The sequence below is a fragment of the Homo sapiens genome, chromosome 17 (genome assembly GCF_000001405.40).
Source record: "Homo sapiens chromosome 17, GRCh38.p14 Primary Assembly".
Taxonomy (NCBI): Eukaryota; Metazoa; Chordata; class Mammalia; order Primates; family Hominidae; genus Homo; species Homo sapiens.
In genome coordinates, this window is record NC_000017.11 from 20,754,639 (window position 1) to 20,773,913 (window position 19,275).

The 19,275-nt window shown below is 44.2% G+C and overlaps 1 pseudogene; it reads right to left on the minus strand.

Annotated features, from left to right (window-relative positions):
• On the minus strand, nucleotides 16,420–16,851 carry HNRNPA1P19 (heterogeneous nuclear ribonucleoprotein A1 pseudogene 19; annotated as a pseudogene).

Genomic DNA, 19,275 nt, shown 5'->3' on the forward strand with positions numbered 1-19,275 from the left:
AGGATATTCCTCCCTGAGTATCCTTTATTCACTAAAGGAGTAGCAAATAATCACAGCAGATGAATTTTCAGGTTATTTATCACTGGACTCCTCCCTTCTCTCTTACTGCCAAAGCTCTGCTGCCCTACACAAATGATCTTTTAGGGAACATCTGCTACCAAAAAAAAAAAAAAGCGGCCAGGAGTTTGAGACCAGCCTGGCCAACATGGCGAAACCCTGTCTCTACTGAAAATACAAAAATACAAAAATCAGCCGGGCTTGGTGGCGGGTGCCTGTAATCCCAGCTACTCGGGAGGCTGAGGCAGGAGAATCTCTTGAACCTGGGAGGCGGAAGTTGCAGTGAGCTGAAATCGTGCCTATGCACTCCAGCCTGGGCGACAGAGAGGGATCCCCCGTCTCAAAAAAAAAACGCATTGGCTTTCTTTTTTGGTGGGGGTGGGGTGGGCAGCGGTGGTGGAAGGCGTACTTAAGTCTCTCTATGCTTACTAATTTAAATCTTTCTGACAGATTTCTGGGTCAGTAAGGGTGAGCGCCAGGCTCCAGACTATAGTGAATTTTCCGAGGAGATTTGTGTAAGTATTCTAACATTTCAACTATGTCGTGGATTTCTTTCTTTCTCTCTCTCTCTCTCTCTCTCTTTCTTTTTTTTTTTGAGACGGAGTCTTGCTCTGTCGCCCAGGCTGGAGTGCAGTGGCGCGATCTCGGCTCACTGCAAACTCCGCCTCCCGGGTTCACCCCCTTCTCCTGCCTCAGCCTCCCGAGTAGATGGGACTACAGGCACCTGCCACCACGCCCGGCTAATTTTTTTGTATTTTTTTAGTAGAGACGAAGTTTCACCGTGTTATCCAGGATGGTCTCGATCTCCTGACCTCGTGATCCGCCCGCCTCGGCCTCCCAAAGTGCTGGGATTACAGGCGTGAGCCACTGCGCCCGGCAGTCGTGGATATTTTTAAACTTAAAAATGTGTGAAAACTTAGGAAACAGGAAAAAGAAAAAGAATACCACATAATTCAGCCACAGCCACAATGGAGCACGGTATGTATTAGTACACTGATAATTTTGGTACGTTTGGTACATTTGTAAATTTAGAATACCAAATGTAATGTTTAAATTCTCATCTTGGCCAGACACTGTGGTTCATTCCTGTAATCCTAGCACTTTGGGAGGCTGAGGTGAAAAGATCGCTTGAGCCCAGGAGGTCCAGAGCACCCTGGGCAACATACAGAGAACCTGTCTCTAGAAAAAAAATGTTAAAATTAGCCGGGTATGGTGGCAAGGGCTTGTAGTCCCAGTTACTCAGGAGGCTGAGGTGGGAGGTCAAGGCTGCAAGGAGCCATTATTGCTGCAGTCTGGGCGACAGAATGAGGTCCTGTCTCAAAAAAAAAAAAAAAAAGATTCTCCTTTTAACATACTCAACACTGAAGGTATATTAGTCCATACTGGATGTTTATTAGTGCACCTGGAGCTGCATTTCACCCAAGTAACTTAACTGAAATGTGACATATTTGAAGAAAGAAAGTACTGAATTGATAAGAAGATTTGACCTGGTGACAGGCTGTTATCTGATAAATTTTCTTTCCACTGGCATCTGGACTGTTGGAAATAGACATTTTAATTTTAATTGGTTAATTCAAAAAGCATTTGCCACGTACTTACTGAATGTTAAGAATAGTACTAGATGTTGGAGAGAGAGACATAATAATGGGCCAGGCACCATGGCTCACACCTGTAATCTCAGCACTTTGGGAGGCCAAAGTGGGTAGATCACTTGAGGTCAGCAGTTCAAGACCAGCCTGGCCAACATGGTGAAACTCCATTTCTGCTAAAAATATAAAAATTAGGGCCGAGCATGGTGGCTCACGCCTGTAATCCCAGCACTTAGGGAGGGTGAGGCAGGTGTATCACCTGAAGTCAGGAGTTCAAGACTGGCCTGGCCAACATGGCGGAACCTCGTCTCTACTAAAAATACAAAAATTAGCCAGGCATGGTGGCGCACGCCTGTAAACCAGCTACTCAGGAGGCTGAGGCAGGAGAATTGCTTGAACCCCAGAGGCAAATGTTGCAGTGAGCCAATATCATGCCACTGCACTCCATCCTGGGTGACAGAGCAAGAATCCATCTCAAAAAAAAAAAAATGTTTCCGTCTCATGGTGACTGAAATGGTTAGACCTGCAAACAAATAATTACAGTATTTTGGAGAAAACACTATATTGAAGGTTCTGTGAGATGCAATGGAAGCAAAAGGTAGAAGCATTTAACTTTGTCAGGCAATAAATCTTGTATTAAATTTGTGATATTTAAGATGAAATCTTAATTTTTTTTTTTTTTTGAGATGGAGTTTTGCTCTGGTGCCCAGGCTGGAGTAGAGCGGCGCAATCTTGGCTCACTGCAACCTCTGCCTCCTGAGTTCAAGTGATTCTAGTGCCTCAGCATCCTGGATGAAATCTTAAGAATAAGTTGATATTTACCAGGGCACAAGCAGTAATAGGGCATTGCAGATAGAAACATTATATGGAAAATGGTGGTATTGAAATACCATGGTCATTTAAGGACTGTTTTTCATATTTGGAAGAGTAGGGTGCATAGAGTAGTAAGAGATAAGTCACATAAGTAGAAGCTAGAAAATGACTTTGTGGGCCTCACTTAGTAGTTTATTCTAAAGGGAAGCTACTGAGTTTTAAGCAACAGAATTGTGTGACTGGATTTCTTTTTTCAGAATTCATATGCTAATAGTAGCAGTGCAAGTTCCATTAGGAGACTATTATAAGTAGTTCAGGTACAAGATGAGGTCTTGAACTTGTCAGTGAAGTGGGATTCAAGAAGAAGGAGATTGGAGAGGTTATGAAATAGAATCAATAGGGTTAAGTGTCCTAGATTGCTGCAGTTAAGCTCTGTGGCCCCTCCACTACCCACACCAATTTTTCACACCTACCCATGTCCATACCCTTGGGTAGTCTCCTCACAGACTGATTTAAGTGATTTGCTTTGGCCCTTGGGACAACAGCAATTGTAATGTTAGCAGAGACTTGAAAAATTCTTCCGCATTGGGATTCACACTCTTACTGCTGGTACCCCTTTGCCACAATTTGATTAAATCAAGCTAGCCTCCTAGAAGATGAGACCACTTTGAGAGTGTCCCTAGCTCTCCCAGCCTTCCTGGTTGTCTCAGCATTCTCAGTTGAAGCCCCAAACATATGTGTGAGGCCATCCTAGAATGAGCCAGTCTATACCTAGAATTATAGGAAATATAGATTCTTTTCTTTCTTTCTTTCTTTCTTTTTTTATTAGATGGAATCTCGTTCTGTCACCCAGGCTGGAGTGCAGTGGCATGATCTTGGCTCACTGCAACCTCTGCCTTCTGGGTTCAAGCTATTCTCCTACCTCAGCCTCCCAAGTAGCTGGGACTACAGGTGCCTGCCACCATGCCTGGCTAATTTTTGTGTTTTTAGTAGAGACGGGGTTTCACCATATTAGCCAGGCTGGTCTCCAACTCCTGACCTTGTGATATGCCTGCCTTGGCCTCCCAAAGTGCTGGGATTACAGGCATGAGCCACTGCACCCAGCCTATAGATTATTTTCTTTTCAGCCTCTAGGTTTGGAGCAGTTGGTTTCATAACAAGATTAACTGATAGCCTAACTGACCAAGTATATAGGGCAGGTAAGAGGAATAGTCTAAGACAAATCTTCATTTTTTAGCATGGATAGATGGATACATCAATATTGGGAAGCTATATTAGAATAAGTAAATTGGTGGCATTACCAGATGAATAGGGAATTTTTTTGAAAGACCAAGTTTGGAGAGATATCTGTAATTTTGGCTTGGAAATACTGAGTCTTAGGAGTTCCTGGGAAACATACAGGTGAAGATACCCAGTTGGCAATGTGATATAAGGATCTGGAGATGGAAAATTTGAAGTAAAAGCTGTGGCTGTGAAAACTTTGCCCATTTCTCATTTATGCGTTTTCAGAGCCTTTTTTTTTTGTAGATTCTTTGTAGACAGTGTTGTCTACAAATAGAAACAGCTTCTTCCTTTCTGATGCCTATTCTTTTTATTTCTTGCTTTATTGTATTAACTGTAACTGCCAATGTGATGTTATTAATAAATTAAATAGGAATGGTGACAGTAGACATCCGTGCCATGCTCCTGATTTTAAGGGGAATACATTCAGCCTTTTTACCATTAAGTATGTCAGCTGTAAGTTTTGCTCATTTGTTTGTTTCCTTTTTTTTTTTTGTGAGACAGAGTCTCACTCTGTCGTCCAGGCTGGAGTGCAGTGGCGCCTTCCCAGCTCACTGCAACCTTCGCCCGCAGGGTTCTAGCGATTCTCCTGCCTCAGCCTCCTGAGTAGCTGGGATTACAGGCGGCTGCCACCACGCCCTGCTAATTTTTTTGTATTTTTAGTAGAGACGGGGTTTCTCCATGTTGGCCAGGCTGGTCTCAAACTCCTGACAGAGTGGATCCACCCGCCTTGGCCTCCCAAAGTGCTAGGATTACAGGCGTGAGCCACCGCACCTGGGCCGTTTGTTTCTTTTTTTTGAGATGGAGTCTCGCTTTGTCGCCCAGGCTAGAGTGCATTGGTGTGATCTCAGCTCACTGCAATTTCCATCTCCCAGTTTCAAGTGATTCTCCTGCCGCAGCCTCCCCAGTAGCTGGGATTACAGGTGTCCGCAACCACACCTGGCTAATTTTGTATTTTTAGTAGAGATGGGGTTTCACCATGTTGGCCAGGCTGGTCTGGAACTCCTGACCTCAGGTGATCCGCCTGCCTTGGCCTCCCAAAGTGCTGGAATTACAAGTGTGAGCCACCGTGCCCAGCCTCTAGTTTTTTTTGTATGTGTCATCTATCAGGTCAAGTAAATAAATTCCCTTCTTCTCCTAGTCTGCTAAGAATTTTTATCATAAGTAGATATTGAATTTTGACAAATCTTCTTCTGCCTTTATTAAAAAATCACACAATTTTTCTTATTTAGCCTGTTGATATGGTGAAATTTTCTTTTCTCTTTTTTTTGGAGACAGAGTCTCCCTCTGTTGGCCCAGGCTGGAGTGAGTGGTGCGATCTTGGCTCACTGCAATCTCTGCCTCCCAGGTTCAAGCGATTCTCATGCCTCAGCCTCCCAAGTAGCTGGGATTACAGGCATGTGCCACCACGCCTGGCTAATTTTTGTATTTTTAGTAGAGGTGGGGTTTCACCATGTTGGCCAGGCTGGTCTCGAACTTCTGACCTCAGGTAATCCACCCACCTCGGCCTCCCAAAATGCTGGGATTACAGGCATGAGCCACTGCACCCAGCCTATCAATTGATTTTTAAATGTTAAGCCAGCCTTGCATTTCAAGGATAAACCCCACTGAGTTGTAGTGTATTAACCTTTTTATATATTGCATTCATTTTACTAATATTTTGTGGAGGATTCTTGCATCCCTGTTTGTGGGAGATACTGGTTTTCTTACAATATCTTTAACTGTTCTTGATGTCAGGATAATGCTGGCCTGAATTGGAAAATGTTTCCTGTTTGCAGAAGAAATTGTGTTGAATTGGTATCATTTCTTACTTAAATTTTGGTAGAATTTGCCAGTGAGGCCATCTGGCCTAGAATTTTTTTTTATGGAAAGGTTTTAAACTACAAATTTCAGTTTCTGCATTCACTATAGAATTATTCAGGTTATATACTTCTTCTTAAGTCAGCTTGAAGGAATTGGCATAAAGTTGTTCATAATATTCTCTTATTAGCCTTTTAACATCTGTAGGCTCTGTATTGACATTAGCACTTTTATTGCTGGTATTGGTAATCTGTGTAATCTTTGTTTTTTTCTTGGTCAGTATAGCTAAAAGTTTATCCATTTTATTGGTATTTTCAATACAATTTCATTTCATTTATTTGGTTTTATTTATTTTCTAATATAAGCATATCATTACTTTAATTTAATTTGATTAATTTATTTTGAGACAGAGTCTTGCTCTGTCACCCACACTGGAGTGCAGTGGTGCAGTCTGGGGCTCACTGCAGCCTTGAACTCCCAAGCTCAAGTGATCCTCCCTCTTCAGCCTCCCAAGTTTCTGGGACTACATGTGCACACTGCCACACCCAGCTAAGTTCTAAAATTTTCTGTAGGGATAGGATGTCACTATGTTGCCCAGGCTGATCTTGAGCTCTTGGGCTCAAGCAATCCTCCTGCCTTGATCTCCCAAAGTGCCGGGATTACAGGCATGAGTCACCACACTCAGCCAAGTATATAATTTTATATATGATCCTCCCACCTCGGCCTCTCAAAGTGCCAAAGTGCCAAACTGCTGGGATTACAGATGTGAGCTACAGTGCCGGGCACCTTCGGTATTTTCTGTTAGTGCAGGTTTGCTGCCAATGAATTGTCTTAGTTTTCCTTCATTTGAGAATATCTTTAGTTTTCCCTTCATTAATGAAGGATATTTTCATTGGTATCTAATTCTGAGTAGACAGTTTGTTTTAGCAAATTAAAGATATTCCTGGCTGGGCGTAGTGGCTCATGCCTGTAACCCCAGCAATTTGGGAGGCCGAGGTGGGTGGATCACTTGAGGTCAGGAATTCTAGACCAGCCTGGCCAACATGGTGAAACTCCATCTCTACTAAAAATAAGAAAATTAGCCGGGCATGGTGGCATGCGCCTGTAATCTCAGCTACTCTGGAGGCAGAGGTGGGAGAATTGCTGGAACCCAGGATGCAGTGAGCCGGGATCACGCCACTGCACTTCAGCCTGGACGACAGAACGAGACTCCATCTCAATTAAAAAAAAAAAAAAGATATTCCACTGTTTCTACTCTTCAGGGTTTCTAATAAGAAATCCACAGTCAAATCATTGTTCCCCTATAGGTAATGTATTTTTTTCTTTCTTTTTCTTTTTGAGACGGAGTCTTGCTCTGTTGCCCAGGCTTGAGTGCAGTGGCGGTGATCTCGGCTCACTGAAAGCTGTGCTTCCCGGGTTCACGCAATTCTTCTGCCTCAGCCTCCCGAGTAGCTGGGACTACAGGCGCCCGCCACCATGCCTGGCTAATATTTTGTATTTTTAGTAGAGACAGGGTTTCACCATGTTAGCCAGGATGGTCTCGGTCTCATCACCTCGTGATCCACCCACGTCGGCCTCCCAAAGTGCTGGGATTACAGGTGTGAGCCATGGTGCCCCGCCTTTTTTTTTTTTTTTTTTTTTTTTTTTTTCCTGAGACAGAGTCTTGCTCTGTTCCCCAGGTTGGAGTGCAATGGCGCAATCTCAGCTCACTGCAACCTCTGCCTCCTGGGTTCACGTGACTCCTCTGCCTCAGCCTCCTGAGCAGCTGGGACCACAGGCATGTGCCACCATGCCTGGCTAATTTTCGTATTTTTAATAGAGATGGAGTTTCACCATATTGGCCAGGCTTGTCTCAAACTCCTGACCTTGTGATCTGCCTGCCTTGTCCTCCCAAAGTGCTGGGATTACACAGGCGTGAGCCACCACGCCCGGCCTATGTAATGTATTTTTTTCTGCAGGTATCTCTCTCTGTTGTAGTAGGCTGAATAAATAGCCACCCAAAGATGTCAAGTTTTAATTCCTGAAACTCATAAATATTATTTTATTTGGAAAAAGAGTCTTTGCTGATGTAATTAAGGATTTTGAGAGGAGTCAGTTACCTTGGATTTTTCAGGTGGGTCCTGAATACCATCCCAAGTGTCCTTATAAGAGAGAGGCAATAGAGACACAGAGGAGAAAGCCATGCGAAGATGGAGCAGAGAGATATATGGCCTTAAGCCAAGGAATGCTGATAGCTGCCAGAAGCTGGAAGAAGGCAAGGAATGGATTATCCCCTATAGCCTCCAGAGGCAATGCAGCCCTGCCAACACTTTAATTTTAGATTTCTGGCCTATAGAACTGTGAAAGAATAAATTTCTGTTGTTTTCAGCTACTAAGTTTGTGATCATTTGGTGCAGCATTTACAGGAAACGAATACACCTCTCCTTCTAGGGCTCCAATTATGTGAATATTAGACCATCTAATATTGCCCCACATGTTCCTGAGGCTCTCTGTTCATTTTCTTTTAAATCTGTTTTTCTCTGTTCTTCAGATTGGACAATTTCTCTCTGTCTTTTTTTGTTGTTTGTTTGTTTTTTGAGATGGAGTTTCGCTCTTGTCGCCCAGGCTGGAGTGCAACGGTGCAATCTTGGCTCATTGCAACCTCCGCCTCCCACGTTCAAGTGATTCTCCTGCCTCAGCCTCTGAGTAGCTGGGATTACAGGCACCCACCACCATGCCCGGCTAATTTTTGTATTTTTAGTAGAGACGGGGTTTCACTATGTTGGCCAGGCTGGTCTCAAACTCCTGACCTCAGGTGATCCACCCACCTTGGCCTCCCAAATTACAGGTGTGAGCCACCATGCCTGGCCTGGACAATTTCTCTTGATCCACCTTCACTAACTCTTTCCTCTATTGGTAATCTTTATCCTATTATTGATACCATCTAGTGAAATTTTTTATTTCGGATATATTTTTTCAGTTGTAAACTTTCTGTTTGGTTCTTTTTCATAGTTTTTTTCTTCTGTTGAGAACTTATATCTTACCATGTTCACTTTTATCTTATAGAGCATGATGATAATAGCTTTCTTAAAGTCTTTGATAATTCCATCATCTTGGCATTTGTATCTGTTGATTATCTTTTTCGCTTGAGAATGGTCACTTTTTCATGACTCTTTGTATGTTGTATAATACCAGTTTGTATCCTGAACAGTTTGAATATTCCTTTGTGACTCTCTGGGTCCTATTAAAGTCTCCAGAGAATGCTGATTTTAGTTGCTGTTTTCAGCATTCAGTCATCCTGGTTGGATTGAGACTGCAAGGTCTGTCTTGCCCGTTTTTCTCCCTGTGGATTCCAATGTCAAGACAGTTTTCAAAGCCTGTCCTGTGCTGCTTTAGATCATCCTACATGTATCTGTGCCCTTTGGGGGTTAGACTTGGACTTGTGCCTTATGTTGTTCTTCGGTTTTCGAGGCTTTTGCTGTGCTGCTTTGTGGTATTCTGTGTATATGCACCTCAGGAATGAGCCCTGGACAGATGCTTATTCGTGCACAGAAGTAGGAAAACCCTTCTCTAGGTCTCCTCTCTGGGATTCTTCTCAACTTTCTGCCTCTGTCCTAGAGCCAGAATGATGGGGCTTCTCAAGGAGGGTTAGTTGCCCATGCCACTGCCACAGCAAGAGAGACAGGGAAAAAATGGACATTTCTCCCTTACAGCTCTGAAACCCAGGGACTCATTTTCTGAGTTCCTTGATCTACACAGACAGGGCTTCTCTGGGAGTTTTAGCTGTCCACACTGCACTGCCACAGCTCACTGTAGCCTATCCTCAGATCACACACACACACACACACACACACACACACACACACACACGGAAACTCACTCCCATGTGGGCCCCTTTCTACAAGTTTGACTCTGCATTTGTTTACTTTTCAGAGTGCACAGGGAGTTGCTTTTTGTATTTATTCCAGAGTGTTTAGTTATAACCAGCAATAGAAATAACCTATAGTGGACTACTCCATCTTGACTGGCACTGGAGTCTTAAAATGTTAATAATTCTTTCTCTTTTTTTTTTCTTTTTTTTGAGACAGGGTCCCACTCTTTTGCCCAGGCTGCAATGCAGTGGCACTGTCACTGCAGCCTCAATCTCCCAGGCTCAAGTGATCCTCTAGCTTCAGCCTCCTGAGTAGCTGAGACTACAGGTGCACACTACTGCATCCACTAATTTATTTTTATTTTTAGTTCTTTTTTTTTTGAGACGGAATTTTGCTCTTGTTGCCCAGGTTAGAGTGCAATGCTGTGATCTTGGCTCACTGCAACCTCTGACTCCTGGGTTCAAGCCGTTCTCCTGCCTCAGCCCCCCAAGTAGCTGGGATTACAGGCCCCTGCCACCATGCCTGGCTAATTTTTTGTATTTTTAGTACAGACAGGGTTTCACCATGCTGGCCAGGCTGGTCTTGAACTCCTGACCTCAAGTGATCCATCAGCCTCAGCCTCCCAAAGTGCTGGGATTACAGGCGTGAGCCACTGTGCCTGGCCCACTAATTTATTTTTTATAGAGATGGGGTCTTGCTTTGTTGCCCAGGCTGCTCTTGAACTCCTGGCCTAAAGCTATCCCCTCATCTTGGCCTCCCAAAATGTTAGGATTACAGGTGTGAGCCACCACATCCAGCTTATTTCTTAAATGAGTGATTAAATGTGTGTCTCTTTCACTATACTGAATGTCAGCAGGGACAATTTTGATTTTGTTTGTTTTATTTTGTTTTGTTGCATTGCATTGCATTGCATACGGTGTCTCACTCTGTCTCCTTGGCTGGAGTGCAGTGGCGTGATCTCGGCTCACTGCAATCTCCACCTCCTTGGTTCAAGTGATTCTCCTGCCTCAGCCTCCCGAATAGCTGGGGTTACAGGTGTGTGCCACCACGCCAAGCTAATTTTTGTATTTTTAGTAAAGACGAGGTTTCTCTACGTTGGCCAGGCTGGTCTCAAACTCCTGGCCTCAAGTGATCCACCCGCCTCGGCCTCCCAAAAGTGCTGGGATTACAGGCATGAGCCATTGCACCCGGCCTATTTTATTTTATTTTTTAAACATATTTTATTTTATTTTTAAACATATTTTATTTACTTATTTTTTTTTGAGACAAGAGTCTTGCTCTGTCACCCAGGCTGGAGTGCAATGGTGTGATCTCAGCTCACTGCAACCTCCACCTCCCGGGTTCAAGCAATTCTCCCACCTCACCCTCCCTAGTGGCTGGGATTACAGGCACCTACCATCATGCCCTGCAAATTTTTTTATTTTTGTAGAGACGGGGTTTCACCATGTTGGCCAGGCTGGTCTTGAACTCCTGACCTCAGGTGATCCTCCTGCCTCAGCCTCCCAAAGTGCTGGGATTACAGGCATGAGCCACCGAGCCCAGCTTTACTTTTATTTTTATGTTTTTGAGATGGAGTCTCACTTTGTCACCCAGGCTGGAGTGCAGTGGCGTGATTTTGGCTCACTGCAACCTCTGCCTCCTGGGTTCAAGTGATTCTTCTGTCTCAGCTTCCCAAGTAGCTGGGATTACGGGCATGTGCCACCACTCCTGGCTAAGTTTTCTATTTTTAGTAGAGACGGGCTTTTGCTATGTTGGTCAGGCTGGTCTCAACTCCTAACGTCAGGTGATCTGCCCACCTCAGTCTCCCAAAGTGCTAGGATTACACGCATGAGCCACTGCGCTTGGCCTGGCTTTGTTTATTACTGTACCTAATGCCTAATACCATTTTTGGCATATACTAAGTGGCCAATAAATACTTATGGAATAAACAAATGAATGGACACTTTTTAAACCTCATCCTGCTTGACATTTTTGCAGCATTCTACACTATAGGTTGTTCCCACCTCCTGGAATCTTTCTTCCCTAAACTTTCATATTCTACTGATTTCCCCACTTCTGCAGGCTTTCTTTACAGGCAAGCTGCTACTTCTTTATGAATCTTACAGCTTCAGATATTGCTGTGAAAATGGGGACACCTACATAGTCACCCACATCGGCACAAGTACAGACTTAGAGAATAATAAATGCTCAGTCACCATTTCCTCATCTGAGAAGAGAGTGGATACAGTCATCCCTTAGTATCTCTGGGAATTGGTTCCAGGACCCCATGTGGACACCAAAATCCATGGATGCTCAGGTCCCTAATATACAATGATGTAGTATTTGCATATAATCTATGCACATCCATATGCTTTAAATCAGATTACTTAAAATACTTAATAAAATGCAATTGCTATATAAATAGTAATTATACATTATTACTTAGGGAATAATAAGGAAAAAAAGTCTATACATGTTTAGTTCAGACACACCCATCCTTTTTTCCCTCCCAATTTTTTTTTTTTTTTTGAGGTGGATTTTCACTCTGTCACACAGAGTGTGACCTCTGCCTCCTGGGTTCAGGGGATTCTCCTGCCTCAGCCTCCCGAGTAGCTGCGATTACAGGTGTGTGCCACCATGCCCGGCTAATTTTTGTATTTTTAGTAGAGACAGGGTTTCACTATATTGGCCAGGCTGGTCTCGAACTCCTGACCTCAAGTGATCTGCCCACCTTGGCCTCCCAAAGTGAGCCACCATGCCCAGCCTGCCCCTAAATATTTTCAGTCCTTGGTTGGCTGAATCCACAGATGCAGAAACCACAGATGTGGAACCCATGGATGCAAAGGGCTATTTGTGGCCCGGTGCAGTGGCTCACACCTGTAATCCCAACACTTTGGGAAGCCACGGTGGGAGGATCGGTTGAGCTTAGAAGTTTGAGAGTAGTCTGGGCAACATGGTAAAAGCCCGTCTCTACTAAAAATACAAAAATTAGCAGGGCGTTGTGGCATGCATCTGTGGTCCCAGCTAATCAGGAGGCTGAGGCATGAGAATCACATGAATCCAGGAGGTGGAGGTTGCAGTGAGCCGAGAGTGCATCACTGCACTCCAGCCTGGGCAACAGAGTGAGACCCTGTCTCAAACAAAACAAAACACCAACAGGCTGAGCGTGGGGGCTCACACCTGTAATCCCAACACTTTGGGAGGCCAAGGCAGGCGAACCACTTGAACCTAGGAGTTTGAGACCAGCCTGGCCAACATGTCGAAACCCCATCTCTACTAAAAAAAAAAAAACAAAAAACAAAATTAGCTAGGTATCGTGGCAGGCACCTGTAATCCCAGTTACTCAGGAGGCTGAGGCAGGAGAATCGCTTGAACCAGGGAGGCGGAGGTTGCAGTGAGCCGAGGTCGTGCCACTGCACTCCAGCCTGGGCAACAGAGCAAGACTCTGTCTCAAAAACAAACAAACAAACAAAAAAAAAACCAAACCCCCAATGGGCTATGTGTTGACTGCATGGTGGCTCTCTTTGTTGTTCTCCTGTTGCCTATTGTTATTGAATCCAAAGTCTTCTAGGTCCTCTTTTTACCTGCTTCTTAGCTAATCATTATATTCCTACACAAATTCTTGTTAAGATAAAATTTTCATAAGTTAAAAACTTGTCTCTTACGTAAATATAAACAGAAAATAAGTCAGGCCAGGTGCGATGACTCACGTCTGTAATCCCAGCACTTTGGGAGCCCAAGGCCAGAGGATCTGTAGAGTCCAGGAGTTTGAGACCACCCTGGCCAACACGGTTAAACTCCTGTCTCTACTAAAAATACAAAAATTAGCCGGGCATGGTGGTACACGCCTGTAATCTCAGCTACTTGGGAAGCTGAAGCAGGAGGATCACTTGAACCGGGGAGGCGGAGGTTGCAGTGAGCTAAGATCGCACCACTGCACTTCAGCCTGGGCAGCAGAGCAAGACTCCCTCTCAAAAAAAAAAAAATCAAATTATGATGCACACGCCTACATAATCAGATAATTCCCAGAGGGTCTAAACAGCATCCTGCATTCCATGGAAAAGACTCAGTGATCTCTTCTGCTCATTTCCAAATTTTGGATATTATTTTCTTAATATTATTTTTAACTTTTATTATCATTATCATTATTATTATTGCTTTGAGACAGGGTCTTACTCTGTTGCCCAGGCTGGAGTGCAGTGGCATGATCATGGCTCACTGCAGACTCAACCTCCAGGGCTCAAGTGATCCTCCCACCTCAGCCTCCCAAGTAGCTGGGACCACAGGCGTGCACCACCATGCCTGGCTAATTTTTTTATTTTTTTGTAGCTCGGGGTCTCCTTGTGTTGCCCAGGCTGGTCTCAAACTCCTGGGCTCAAGTGATCCTCCTGCCTCGGCCTCCCAAAGTTCTAGGACTACAGGCAGGAGCCACAGCACCTGGCCAGTTTTCATAATATGCTTCACCCAGATAGAAAAATTTTACTTTCTCTTTTTCTTTGTACCGGTCTCCCTCTTTCCTCATAGAATGTTTTTTCCTCTCTTCCTGCCCAGGTATGTCCCTTACTTTCTTTACATCTGGCCCCAGCTTGCTTCCTTTTAACACAAATTTCTGTTTCCTTCCTCTTTCATCCTTACATGAAACAGCTGATGGCCCAGGTATTCATTCTTGAAACATTCAAGGAGTAATTTGGAGTGTTAATTTTCTTTTCTTTTTCTTTTCTTTTTTTTTTTTTTTTTGAGATGGAGTCTCGCTCTGTTGCCCAGGCTGGAGTGCAGTGGCATGATCTCTGCTCACTGCAACCTCTGCCTCCCGGATTGAAGCGATTCTCCTGCCTCAGCCTCTCAAGTAGCTGGGATTACAGGTGCCTGGCACTATGCCTGGCTAATTTTTGTATTTTTGGTAGAGACGGGGTTGCATCATGTTGGCCAGCCTGGTCTTCAACTCCTGACCTCGTGATCCACCCGTCTCGGCCTCCCAAAGTGGTGGGATTACAGGTGTGAGCCACCGCGCCCGGCCTGGAGTGTTAATTTTTCATTTAGGAGATGATAAAATGGTATTATTTTTATTAAAAACGGCCTTCATTAGTTTGTATTTTTTTTCCCCCAGTTCTCATTTGGTTTAAATGGTTTGGCATACTTGTGTTATATTCCCAGTTTCATTTTAACTTCCATGAGGGGAGAAAATAAATTTTTGGTTTTTTTAGACGGAGTTTTCACTTTTGTCGCCCAGGCTGGAGTGCAGTGATGCAATCCTGGCTCACTGCAACCTCGGCCTTCTGGGTTCAAGCAATTCTCCCTGCGCCAGCCTCCCGTGTAGCTGGGATTACAGGTGCCTGCCATCACACTTGGCTAATTTTTGTATTTTTCGTAGAGACGGGGTTTCACCACGTTGGCCAGGTTGGTCTCAAACTCCTGACCTCAAGTGATCTGCCCACCTCAGCCTCTTAAAGTGCTGGGATAACAGGCGTGAGCCACCTCGCCCAGCCCAAAATACAATTACTCTTTTTTTTTTTTAAATAGAAAGTGTATCCTCTAATTCAGCCATGGTATATAGCACTTATGCTACCACTGTGCTTACCCATAGCTATGGTAGATACAATTGATACCAGAGTCACTCTGGATTAGCCTGGACTCAGCCTCATATTCCTTCTCAACACAGAATTCCAGGCACCCACTCTCAGTCAATTAAAGTTGGCACAAGATGGACATGTTTTATTAAAAACTGAGTGTTTTAAAGAAATACGTCACTCAGGTGTGGTAGCTCCCACCTGTAATCCCAGCACTTTGGAGGCTGAGGCAGGAGAATCGCTTGAGCCCAGGAGTTCAAGACCAGCCTGGGCAACATGGCAAAATCCTGTCCTCTACAAGAAATTTTACAGTTAGCCAGGCATGGTGGCATGTGCCTGTATTCCAGCTACTCAGGAGGCTGAGGTGGGAGGATCACCTGAGCCCAGGAGGTTGAGGCTGCAGTGAATTGAGATCGTACCACTGAGCTCCAGCCTGAGTGACAGAGATCCTGTCTCAAGAAAAAATAAATAAATAAAAAGTATAAAAAGAAAGTGGTGCTTAAGTAAGACCAATCAAAAATTATTGTATGGGCTCATTCATGTATATGTGAGTATAGGGAGACAATTGTGGTCTCTCTCCCAAAATAAAAATGTCTTTTGGGAATTGTTCTAAAATAATTTGTCGTATGGGGTTGATTATAATCTCACGAAGTATGTTTCCTTTGTTTTTTTTTTTAGACAGGGTCTTCCTGCATTTGCAGGCTGGAGTGTAGTGGCATAATCATGGTTCACTGCAACTTCTGCCTCTTGGGCCCAAGCAATCTCCCATCTCAGCCTTCCTAGCAGCTGGGTCCACAGGCACACACCACCACGCCTGGCTAACTTTAAAATTTTTTATAGAGACGGAGTCAGCCTAGGCTGATTGGTGACGGCCCAGGTTGGTCTTGAACTCCTGGGCTCAAGTGATCTTCCCACCTCAGCCTCTCAAAGTTATGGGATTAGGGGAGTTAACCACGGAGTCCAGCCTCTTTTTTTTTTTCTTTTTTCCCCCCCAAATCCAAGCAAATTATTAAGGTAGATACATTTCTTATATAAAAATTAATTTACATCATGTGACCCAGTGGTTGGACCTTCTGGAAAATAAAGACCCATTTTCAGTACATTGTTTTGAATGTATCCACATTTGATCCTAAAGTAACGTACTTTATTTTTTTGAAATTATTATTATTATTGTTTTTTAAAAAGACATTTATGGCTGGGTGCAGTGGCTCACACCTGTAATCCCAGCACTTTGGGAGGCCGAAGCAGGCGGATCACCAGGTCAGGAGTTCAAGAGCAGCCTGGCCAATATGGTGAAACACCATCTCTACTAAAAATACAAAAATTGGCTGGGCATGGTGGTGTGCCCCTGTAGTCCCAGCTACTCGGTAGGCTGAGGCAGAAGAATCGCTTGAACCCAGGAGGGAGAGGTTGCAGTGAGCCGAGATCGCAGCACTGTACTCCAGCCTAGCAACAGAGCAAGACTCCATCTGAAAACAAAACAAAAAATCTCTTAGGTGATGTTCTTCAGTGTCTTCTTTAGTGCCACCAACAAATATCTTTTTCACAGTTAAGTGGGCACCTGGTCTTCGAGAATCTTCTCTTGAGACAGTTCTCTTTGTTTCCACAACTCTTCCATCCACCCTGTGTGGCCTTGCATTCATGGCTGCATCCACCTCCCCCACAGTGGCATAGTGACAAACGCACAGCCCCTGGAGCACTAGGTGTTTGGATGTCTCATGACCACACAGTCCGTGAGCGTTCCCATTGCTCAGAGTGGCTCCTCAGGCTCTCATCAGTTGTTTCAAAGCTCAACCGTCCAACGAAGAGCTTCCTCAGTTGTTCAGGCTCTTTAGGAGACTCTGACTTATACATGACGGCAGGGAGAAGAGAGACTTTAATGATGCTTCCTCGGCAGTGTCCATGGGCAGAAAGCTATTTTTTATTTTTTTGAGATGGAGTCTCAGTCTGTCATCCAGGCTGGAGTGGAGTGGCGCCATCTCAACTCACTGCAACCTCCGCCTCCTGGGTTCAAGCGATTCTCCTGCCTCAGCCTCCCGCGTAGCTGGGACTACAGGCATGCGCCACCACGCCCAGCTAATTTTTGTATTTTTAGTAGAGATGGTGTTTCACCATACTGGCCAGGCTGGTCTCAAATTCCTGACCTCAGGTGATCCACCTGCCTCAGCCTCCCAAAGTGCTGGGATTACAGGCGTGAGCCACTGTGCCCAACCAGTAATGTACTTTAGATTGACAAATTGTTTGGAATCCCAGAATCAGTCATTAAATCTAGAGAGTTTTGTCACAGATCAAAGAGGGTACCAAAACAAATTAGTCACCCCTTTTCTTGCAGAAGAAGTTTATAATAAGCTTTAGATGTACCTTATGTCCAAAGGAAGCACTTGGTGTTTTACACAGTGTAGTATCAAAACACGGATAAGGAGACAGAATTTATTGGCTTAATGTTCTCTTTAGAGCTCTTGATATTCATGTAGCATAATTATTAAAAACATGGACTCCAATGCCAAACATCCTTCAGTTTAGCTTGGAGAGACTATTTAACCTTGCACTGTCTCAGTGTCCTCATCTTAATGGGGTTGTGGTGAAGACCTTTTATTTACTTATATAACTGTGAGGAATGTACACATTCATATGCACATACATGTATTTATGTATGTATATACGAAACTGACCCCATAGTCCCATAGAAGTTTTTTGGGATAAATATAGAAATTGACTCTTCTTGTGCTGGCTTAGTCAGCACATATACTAAAATTGGAACAACAACAGAAAAAGAAACTGACCTGGTCTTAAATTTGAAACTTACATTTGTTTTATTTTATTTTATTTATCTATTTAACTTTTTTGAGATGGAGTCTCATCTGTCGCCCAGGCTGGAGTACAGTGGCGTCACCTTGGCTGACTGCAACCTCTGGCTCCCAGGTTCAAGTGATTCTCCTGCCTCAGCCTCCCGAATAGCTGGGACTACAGGTGTGCATCACCACGTCCAGCTAATTTTTTTTTTTACTTTTTTTTAAGTAGAGACAGGGTTTCACTATGTTGGCCAGGCTGGTCTTGAACTCCTGACCTCAGGAGATCCACCTGCCTCAGCCTCCCAAGGTGTTGGGTTTATAGGCGTGAGCCACCATGCCTGGCCACATTTGTTTTATCTGAGTTCTTTCCTCAAAAAACTACCTTTAGGTCTCTCAAAAACATTATCAAAGAACTGAAACTAACCAGGTCACCACATCCAGACAATGAGATTCGGGGACCCCTCATTCATCATGATTGCTGCCTTGCTCCTCCCTAGTTCTTGTTCTCTTTTTTTTTTCTTTTTTTTCTTTTTTTTTTTTCAGATGGAGTCTGAAAAAAACTCTTGTTGCTCAGGCTAGGGTGCAATGGTGCGATTTCAGCTCACTGCAACCTCCACCTCCCGGGTTCAAGCAATTCTCCTGCCTCAGCCTCCCAAGTAGCTGGGATTACAGGCACTACCACATCCAGCTAATTTTTGTATTTTTAGTAAAGACAGGGTTTCACTATGTTGGCCAGGCTAGTCTTGAACTCCTGACCTCAGGTGATGGGCCTGCCTTGGCCTCCCAAAGTGCTGAGATTACAGGCATGAGCCACCGTGCCCAGCCTCTCGTTTTCTTATACATTGTTACATTTCTTTTCTGCTACATAAACCCCTAGTTACAGTCAGTCAGGGAGTTGGATTTGAGACTAAGCTCCCAATTCCTCTACTGCAGCACCCAGTTAAAGCCTTCTTCCTTGGCAGTAATTGTGGTTTCAGTGTTTGGCTTTCTGTGCAGAGAGCAGCAGGACGTAGACTGAACCCCTGGTGTTTCGGTAACACATACACTCTCATGCAGAGCACTTAGAATAGTCTAAGGACATGGAAAGCACTATACATGTTAATTATGACTTATCTTTACAAATCAACCTCAATATTGTCCTGGCACAGTAACTCACGCCTGTAATCCCAGCACTTTGGGAGGCTGAGGTGGGTGGATCACTTGCGGCCAGGAGTTTGAGACCAGCCTGGCCAACATGGTGAAAACCTGTCTCTAATAAAAATACAAAAATTAGCTGGGCCTGGTGGCGGGTGCCTATAATCCCAGCTACTTGGGAGGCTGAGACAGGAGAATCAACCGCTGCCTGGGAAGCAGAGGTTGCAATGAGCCGAGATCGCTCCACTGCACTCCATCCTGGGTGACAGAACGAGGCTTCATTTCAAAAACAAACAAACAAACAAACAAATCAACCTTAATAGCATTCCTTAAATACTTACAAGTTCTGGTTCATGGATCTTTTATCATGAAAGAGTATTACAATTTATTTTAAATGTTTATTTCATAATTA